Source organism: Homo sapiens, chromosome 2 (genome assembly GCF_000001405.40).
Source record: "Homo sapiens chromosome 2, GRCh38.p14 Primary Assembly".
Lineage (NCBI taxonomy): Eukaryota > Metazoa > Chordata > Mammalia > Primates > Hominidae > Homo > Homo sapiens.
The window spans coordinates 103,786,977-103,797,161 of record NC_000002.12 but is presented as its reverse complement, the minus strand read 5'-3'; the positions used below and the strand labels follow the sequence as shown (position 1 = coordinate 103,797,161).

Here is a 10,185-nt window from a genome sequence, read left to right as displayed (position 1 = left end):
CGTAGAAGGTCCTATTTCATGGTACTATAGAGTTTTCAATACTTAGAGAAAAATGATGATTTTTTTTTTCTGGAGGTGCCATTCTGAGAGAAATTTGAGAAAATAGTTATAGCTAGGACCTCTCCTTCTGTAAGAGAGCAGAGTTTTACACAGCAGAAACTTGATGTGACCTGTGATGAAATGCTGAAGTCAGATATAGATCAGTTCAGGATTGGGGACGAATATGGAAGGTTGAGAAAACTAATTAAGAATCTAAATGTTGTAACTCTATATGAAACGGTTGAGAATAAGATCTTCCACTTATCCCAATTCTGATTCTGAAAGACATACTTGTATTTCTGTATTTGAAGTTTCTATTCTTTAAATAAAGGAGGAAGTAAAAAAATTACTTAAATTTTACCTTTAAATATTGTATTATAAAATAATTCTTTTTAACATATACTTTTAAAAATATGTAAGCATAACTATGTTTAAGAAAATAAAAATGATATTATCAAGAGAGTTTTACAAATTTATTAACTAATCTTATTTAATTTGATGAGTATAGATAAAGAAGTTACTATGTTTTTGTTCCTAAGTGCTTTGAACAACTTGGCTCACTCTCGTTAGACAGTCTTTTATGATGACTATGAGTTTACCTAGCCTCTCAGTCCACTTCCTACTAGTTGCCACATAATCCTTTTGCTATACACCCCCAGCGTTCTTTTCTGCATTCATACAAGACTTTCTGGCCCTTATTTTCTTTTTTTAAAATTTATTTTATTTTAAGTTCTGGGATACATGTGTAAGATGTAGAGGTTTGTTACATAGGTAAACGTGTTCCACAGTGGTTTGGTGCACCTATTAACCCATCACCTAGATATTAAACCCCACATGCATTAGCTATTTATCCTGATGCTCTCCCTCCCCTCCTCCTACCCTACAGGTCCCAGCGTGTGTTGTTCCTTCCCCATGTGTTCATGTGTTCTCATTGTTCAGCTCCCACTTATAAATGAGAACATGCAGTGTTTAGTTTTCTGTTTCCTGTGTTAGTGTGCTGAGGATAATGGCCTCCAGCTCCATCCATGTCCCTGCAAAGGATGTGATCTCATTCCTTTTTATGGCTGCATAGTGTTCCATAGTGTGTGTGTATATATATATATGTGTGTGTGTATATATATGTATATATATATGTATACATATATACACCACATACTCTTTATCCAGTGTATCATTGATGGGCATTTGGGTTGATTCCATGTCTTTGCTATTGAGAATAGTGGTGTATAGAACATACACATGCAAGTATCTTTTTAATAGAATGATTTATATTCCTTTGTGTATATATGCAGTAATGGAATTGCTGGGTCAAATGGTATTTCTGATTCTAGGTTTTGAAGAATTACCACACTGTCTTCCACAATGGTGGGACAAACCTACATTCCCACTGATATGGCTTGGCTGTGTCCCCACCCAAATCTCATCTTGAATTGTAGCTCCCATTATACCCATGTGTTGTGAGAGAGACCCAGTGAGAGAAAATTGAATCATGAGGCAGTTTCCCCCATAATGTTCTCATGCTAGTAAATAAGTCTCAGGGGAGCTGACGGTTTTATAAATGGGAGTTCTCCTGTGCAGCCATGTAAGATGTGCCTTTCGTTTTCTGGAATTATTGAGGGGCCTCTCAGCCATGTGGAACTCAGTCCATTAAACCTCTTTTTCCTTATAAATTAACAAGTCTCAAGTATGTCTTTATCAGCAGCATGAAAATGGACTAAGACAGCAAATTGGTACCAGTACTGTGGGGAGCTGCTGTAGAGACCTGAAAGTGTGGAAGCAACTTTGGGACTGGGTCTGGCAGAGGTTGGAAGAGTTTGGAGGGCTCAGAAGAAGACAGGAAGATGTGAGAAAGTTTGGAACTTCCTATAGACTTGTTAAATGGCTTTGACCAAAAGGCTGATAGTGATATGGACAGTAAGGTCCAGGCTGAGGTGGTCTCAGATGGAGATGAGGAACTTGTTGGGAACTGGAGTAAAGGTCACTCTTTTTTTTGGTGGAGGGGATGGAGTCTTGTTCAGTCTCCCAGGCTGGAGTGCAGTGGAGTGATCTTGACTCATTGCAACCTCCGCCTCCCAGGTTCAAGCAACTCTCCTGCCTCAGCCTCCCGAAAAGCTGGGATTAAAGTCATGTGCCACCACGCCCAGCTAATTTTTGCATTTTTAGTAGAGACGGGGTTTCACCATGTTGGCCAGGCAGATCTCAAACTCCCGACCTCAGGTGATCCACCCACCTTGGCCTCCCAAAGTGCTAGGATTACAGGTGTGAGCCACCACCCCCCACCAAGGTCACTGTTGCTATGCAAAGAGACTGGTGGCATTTTACTCCTGCCCTACAGATCTGTGGAACTTTAAACTTGAGAAAGATGATTTAGGGTATCTGGTAGAAGAAATTTCAAAGCAGCAAAGTGTTCAAGAGGAAGTAGAGCATAAAAGCTTGAAAAATTTGCACCCTAACAATGCAATAGAAAAGAAAAACCCATTTTCTGTGGAGAAATTCAAGCCTGCTGCAGAAATTTGCATAAGTAACGAGGAGCCAAACACCAAGACAATGCAGAAATTGTCTCCAGGGCATGTCAGAGACCTTTGCAGCAGCCCCTCCCATCACAGGTCCAGAGGCTGAGGAAGAAAAAAATGGTTTGGTGGGCTAGGCCCAGGGCCACCCTGCTGTGTGGAGCCTAGGGACTTGGTGCCCTGCATCCTAGCTGCTCCAGCTATGGCTAAAAAGGGCTATACAGGTTGGACAATGGCTTCAGAGGGCACAAGTCCCAAGTCTTGGCAACTTTCATGTGATGTTGATCCTGTGGGTGCACAGAAGTCAAGAATTGAGGTTTGAGGACCTCAGCCTAGATGTCAGAGTATGTATGGAAATGCCTGGATGTCCAAGCAGAAGTTTGCTGCAGGGGTGGGGCTTCATGGAGAACCTCTGCTAGGGCAGTGAGTAAAAGAAATGCTGGATTGGAACCCCCACACAGAGTGAACATTGGGGCACTGCCAAGTGGAGCTATGAGAAGAGGGCCACTGTCCTCCAGACACCAGAATGGCATGGTAGAGCCATGGACAGCTTGCTCTGTGCACCTAGAAAAGCTGCAGACACTCAATGCCAGCTGGTGAAAGCAGCTAGGAGGGGACCTGTACCCTGCAAAGACATAGGGGTGGAGCTGCCCAAAGCCATGGCAAATGGCAGGCCCCCTCTTGCATCAGTATGACCTGGATGTAAAACATGGAGTCAAAGGAAATCATTTTAGAACTTTAAGATTTGGCTGCCCTGCTAGATTTTGGCCTTGCATGGGGTCTGTAGCCCCTTTGTTTTGGCCAATTTCTCACATTTGGAATGGGTCTATTTACCCAATGCCTGTATCCCCACTTTAAGAAGTAGTTAATTTGCTTTTGATTTTACATACAGGCTCATAGGTCTTGTCTTGTCTCAGATGAGACTTTGGACTGTGGACTTTTGAGTTAATGCTGAAATTAGTTAAGACTTCGAGGAACTGCTAGGAAGGCATAACTGGTTATGATATGTGAGGACTTGAGATTTGGGAGGGGCTGGGGGCAGAATGATATGGTATGGCTATGTTGCCACCCAAATATCATCTTGAATTGTAGCTTCCATAATTCCCACATGTCATGGGAGGGACCCAGTAGGAGACAATAGGATCGTGGTGGTGATTTACCCCATACCGTTCTCATGGTGGTGAATAAGTCTCATGAGATCTGATGGTTTTATAAATGGGAGTTCCTCTGTATAAGCCCTTTTGCCTGCCGCCATGTAAGACAGGTCTTTCACCTTCTGCCATGATTGTGAGGCCTCCCCAACCATGTGGCACTGTGAGTCCATTAAACCTCTTTTTCTTTATAAATTACCCAGTCTCAGGTATGTCTTTATCTACAGTGTGAAAACAGACAGACTAATACACCCACCAACAGTATGAAAGCATTCCTATTTCTCCACAGCCTCAGCAGCATCTGCTGTTTCTTGACTTTTTAATAATCACCATTCTGATGGGCATGAGATGGTATCTCACAGCAGTTCTGATTTACATTTCTCTAATAATCAGTGATGTTGGCCCCTGTTTTCTATAGAGGTCCACCATCCAATGGTAAAGGTGGTTTCTAGCAGTTAAGGTGTGCCTGTCGTTAACTGGGCCCGTTAATATCTGATATAGTAAGGTTTTCCTATAAAATGGTTAGTGCAACTCTAGGGAAATATAAAGGAACAGATATGAATAAGCTAAAAGCAATCTTATTGGCTACTTAGAATCTTAGTGGCTTCAATTTAGCAATTTATAAAGAATAATTAGAGTAAGAATTTTCATTGAGCACTTTCTGAGCTCTGGGCACTATACAGGCATTTTCACATTTTATCCTCAAATCAAGAGATAAAGTATTTTTTTTTTTTTTAACAAATGAAGAAAGTGTGGCTTGGACAAGCAATTTATGCATAATTACCCAAACAAAAATGGGCAAAGGTGGGATTTGATTTGGGGTCTGGTTAACTCCAAAGAAAAGATATTCCAATGAAGGGTGACTTCATTACATAAGCAGATGTTAAACAATTTTTACACTTATCGCTCAATCAACAGAAAATGGACATGCATTAAAGAAAATGAGTACATACTGGGCAAACTGAAAAAGATTTTGATTGCCACACTTCCTTAAAACAAAATGAAAAAGTCCATTGTATTAATCACGTTCTTTTAGTTTCTGTATTTCTGATGCTTTTGAAACAGGAGACTTGCAGATCCTGGAGAGATGGTCCCTCCCAGGGCTAGTCAATTTCTAGAGACAGTAAATTACACCCCTGTGAGTGTGCCTTTCAAATGCAAACCGACAAATTCAGAGTCCATATCCCCAACCACCTCTTCTACGGGGCTCTCCCGCTCTGGGGCTCTATTCCTCTGCCCTAACCACCCCAGGGCTAGGTACTTGACAATTAGGGACACCTCTGTTAACCAGAGCCTGCTGAAATTATTCAACTAGCTAATCCTTAGCCTGCTTTCCTTGCCTCCTCTATTCCTTTCCAGAGAAACTGCAACAAAGGCTCTTGCTTGTGTTTTGCCCTCCTTGCAACTCCCGACCCCTGAAGGATCCTGGTGATTCTCCCAGTGGACATATATGATGTGCCCCCTCCTCCTGCAAGCTGTGAGTAATAAACTAGCTTTTCAGTGGCAATCACCTCCTGATCTGTTGGTCTCGTTATACCTCAATAATTATAAAATCTATATTTTTTTCCATTTTTAATGTTTGGGGATACATAGTTGGTGTATATATTTATGGGGTACATAAAGTATTTGGATATAGGCATACAATGCCAAAAAATTATATTTGAGTAAATGGGGTATTAATCACCTCCAGTATTTATCTTTTCTTTGTGTTACGAACAACCCAATTATACTCTTTTAGTTATTTAAAAATACACAATAAATTACTGTTAACTGTAGTCACCCTGTAGTGCTATCAAATACTAGATGCTATTAATTCCATCTAATTATATTTTTGTATTCATTAACCATCCCCTCTTTCCACCCCCTGCCACTACCCTTCCTAGTCTCTGGTAACCATCCTTCTATTGTCTATCTCCATTAGTTCAATTGCAAATAAGTGAGAACATGTGAAGTTTACATTTCTGTGCCTGGCTTATTTCACTTAACATAATGATGCCCAGTTCCATCCATGTTGTTACAAATGACAGGATCTCATTCTTTCTATGGCTGAATAGTACTCCATTGTGTATATGTACCACATTCTCTTTACCCATTCATCTATTGATGGATATTTAGGTTGCTTTCAACTTTTGGGTATTGTGAATGGTGCTGCAATAAACATGGGAGTGCAGATATCTCTTCGATATACTGATTTCCTTTCTTTGGGGGTATATATTTAGTAGTAAGATTACTAGATCATGTGGTAGCTCTATTTTTAGTTTTTTGAGAAACCTCCCAACTGTTTTCAATAGTGGTTGTACTAATTTACACTCTCACCAATAGTGTAGAAGCGTTCCCTTTTCTCCATATCTTTGTCAGTATTTGTTACTGCCTTTCTTTTGGATAAAGCCTTCTTAACTAGGGCGAAAAATCTACATTCTAAAACTTGTATCCTCGACATCTTAGATATCATTGTCATTAGAAAACTATCTTCCCTTCCCTCATCCAATAAAATCGAAAAAAATAGTGAACATTTGTTTTGAAACCATAAAATGATGTAGATGGTCATCTTCTTGAAAGTAGCAGAGTAGAATAAATCCACTTTAACAACAGATAATGCAATAACTCAACTATTTTAGAAAAGATTTGCCTACATATGCTGGAATTGCATATGGATGTTAGATTTTGACTCCTCGGATATCATTAGGTTCTATAAAATTAAATATTTTAAGAGAAAACAAAAGCACTCTAAAGGAACTAATATTATCGGGCATCTCAGGTTACTTATTTATTTTATTCTTTTAGTTAATAATATTTTATCATTTTATTTTCAATGTAAATTTAACCATGCAATATGTAATATTGTACAAGGAGCAGAAACTTGCTTTCCAAATGTATACAGAATATTTATTCATTTTCTTTAGAAATCATTGTTTAGGTGTTTTTAAATTACCACACATAAAATGTTTGCCTTCTCGGAAAACTTAATTAAAAACCAAAATCAACAATATTGTCTATAAGGTGAGATAAAATTTTTAAAAGTTCTGATGAAGACAGAGATTGAAGCATTTTCTAATGCTAATTCAATATCAATTTCAATCTGATGTGTAAGTAGCAGTGCTGTAACCTGATTGCATTACACACTGATATGGTTGTATTAATTTCTATTGATTCACAAAAGCTAACTAAAGTCCTCTACTTCCTGCTTTGATACATTGCCTACATTATTTACAAGTTATCTTTTTAGGTTTTATAAGAAAATTATTCTGTAGATCATTGGGACAAATTGAAATTTGTAGAAAATTAAACAATATTTGAGGACATTCTACAAGTTTCATCAAAATATTTGTGTCAGTTGGAATTTATCAAGGGAATTAAAGGCTGAAGAATTAAAAGAGTAATATGGCAAAGCTATAGTTGGTTACTAACTGAAAACTTTTTTTTCTCTCCCTCTCTATAGACATATTAGACTTGAGAATCCAAAAAGCTCTGTTTAATGATCCTGTATTGGCTGACATCCAAAGAAAAATTGCTTCACTTCTAAATATCCATGACATAACTGTCTGTCTAATAGGAAGACCTGAAAAGTACCATTTGTTGTTGCATCCGGCAGGTCTGTGTTCTGTGCCTCCCAGACTGAAATTTGTAATTCATATTTCCTTTGGCTGGAACTTTGGAATGAATGCCCAAAAGGTGTATTACTTGTACAAGAGGTTCTTGCAAATAGGCTGTCGGTTCTCCTTTGAGCCTAACCTCTCTTTCTGTCTTGGGCCAGACTGTTTGTTAGAGAGGACCCTGTCACTTGTCCTGGTAGTTAAAATGTAGAAACAATCTCTCCTTGGACTGATTCTTCCCATTTTGAAAAATTGCCACAGCAAATTCCCCAGCCTGCCAAGTTGGCAGATTCTAAGCCAAAAGCTGGAGCCCAGCCAGGCATCAATGGCGCATTCCAAACCTCTGAGTCAGCATCCAACTCCATGCCATTCTCTGTCTTCTGTGCAGGAAAGCATCCCATGCCACAGAATCATTGTTAGCCAAATACTAAACTTGCTTTTCAAGCTAAACCAACTTATACTGTGGTTTCATAACCTAGAGTGGATAATACGGGAAATCTGCAAATTCTGAAAAGTTCTGATATTGGAGAATATTTCTTTTGAAATTTGGTAGATTGAGCCTCCCTGTTTTTCAGAAAGTAACAGAGAAGTCTGAATAATTTTTTGGCTTGAGTTGTAAAACACAGGTCCTGACCCCTTGTCGTCATTAAAGATCCCATGGGCTCTTTTGAAAGGACTAAGGGGGATTAACCTTTCTGTTCTGGCTAAATTCCTAATTGGATAATTGCATTCTGCCTCCCTAAATTATCCCTGTAGCTCCAATTGGATATGGAATTTTCACTTCCTGTCATAAAGGGTTGTAGGGTGTTACAACATTTCACCCCAGGGGTGATGCCAATTAAGTCGTTAGTGAGGTGAAATCTGTATGTGGGTTGTCTTTCTTTTTGCAGCCCCCTACCCCACCTCCTTATTTGGAGTTTAAAATGTGTGGGAATCATTCAATCATTGGTAATGAAAAGGGATGTCATAAGTTAGTAACACTGCTTATTGTGGCATTACTTCTAAGAATATAACAAAAGCTGTCAATAATTGATAAGCATTTGCAGAGAGCATTATCATTCTAAAGAGAACAAAAGCACTTTGCTTGAAATGCTGCTGTCCAAACCAGGACGATGATGATCTGAGGAAGGCAATGAAAAGTATTTTTTAAAGCATGTTGACAGATTGTGTTTTTACTGGGGAAGTTGAGTGCAGCTCTGTGAGCTGGCTTGTTTCAAAGCCTTTGTGGGTTGCCGGCTCAGTATTCATAGAAACACTTAGGCCCAGGGCCAGGGCCAAGGGGAGTCGATGTCTCTCCTGAATATGGATGCAGGCATTAACCGTGGGCAGATTACACACGCACTTGATTTGGAAAGTAAAGGTCACACATCAGTCTCTTCAGCTGTATTTATCCACATTGGAAATCGCTGCTCACAGGATCACCTTTGAACCTAAAAAGGCAACACCACCAGCAGCAGCCTTATGTTTACCCTCAGTTGAGGAAAAAGTTAATAATCAGCTTATTTGTGTTCTTAATTTTTTGAAAAATATCTTTTTGAGTCAGTCAAGAAATTGTTCTTGGATCATATTATTTTTATTGTTTCTACAGGTTGTTTCATCAATAGACACTTTAATGGCAATGTAATTGCTTTTATAATTTTAAGGCAATTATGGATTAATTCTCCAGAAACAGGAATGTAAAGATACTCATGACAGCTCTGTGGTAATATCCTCCATCCTCCCATCATCTAACCTAGTTACACTGTGGACCAAATAAAATTTGGGATCCTGCCCATGAGAGTAGGAAACAAATGGGGTAAATAGAAATCCCACCATCAAACTGAAATAGACTGTGGAAAAAAACTTGGATTTGGCTGATATGATGAGAATAGAGAGTTCTCTCTGCATATTTTCTCACCTATATTACAAATCCATCCACATTTATTTTATGGAATCATAATAAGAAATAAATAACCAATGGCAGTAAACAAAGAGTTGAAATAAGCCATCTCAATATTTGAAAAGCAAATTTCAGAGACGATGCTTCTGTATCATTACATCCCATTTTGTTTTGCTTTCTTGGTATAAAATAAATAGAACAATTGACTTTTAAAATATTAAATACAATTTGATTTGATTATATTTGTTGTTAGATTAACTACAGTCTTATCTCACTGCAACAATAGATGCCTTCTGATAGAAGCACCTTTAACACTCTCCTGTTCTTCTCAACATCTCTGTGTAACTTGATTTTCTCTCTCCTCTCATTTCTTATCCCAGAGAGAAATTTCTTCTGGAGAGGCCAAATCCATGCTACTGGCTGCTGCATGTCTGAGTCTTGTGTAAGAATACTCCAGAGGTAGCTACGGAAGCTAACACTTCAGTCCTGAAGACTCTGGATAATGTTTTCATAAGTTCTTATCAGAGAAGACATTTCCTGCTCTCTATTAGTACATATCATTTTTCTCACCTAATTTAGGACTTTGCATTTTTAACATTTAAAAATTAATCATGCTGGATCTTTAAACAATTTTTTAAGTCTGTCTTTCTACATAGTGGTTGGCCCTTTCTATCATTCCCAAATTTTATTAGATAAGCATGCATTTTCATCTCTAGAGAAATCATTGATAAAACATATTCAGCAGCACAGAGTCAAGTGGTAAGGCCTCCTTAGTTCCTAATTGAAATATAATTTTTATCTTAGTTTTGGTACAGGTATTTAATTAGTTAGAGAGTTATAAAACTAGACTTGCCTCTAACCCAAATTTTGTCCTTTTACCCTCCTGGATATAGTGCAAGATCATGTCACATATCTAGCTGAGATTTGGACAGTGTTTCTAAGGGAGTCCTCAAATTTATAAATAAATTTAGGTGGCTGAGATTTATGTATGCAGTGACAATTAGATCTGCTCA

At 38.5% G+C, this 10,185-nt stretch overlaps 1 annotated feature.

Annotated features, from left to right (window-relative positions):
- Nucleotides 4,544-5,206: an enhancer, noted in NCBI's record as "OCT4-NANOG hESC enhancer chr2:104408414-104409076 (GRCh37/hg19 assembly coordinates)". NCBI's record gives its function as "activates a minimal SCP1, AML or CMV promoter by ChIP-STARR-seq in naive H9 embryonic stem cells {active_cell/tissue: H9 hESC(naive)}" and the evidence as "EXISTENCE:reporter gene assay evidence [ECO:0000049][PMID:30033119]".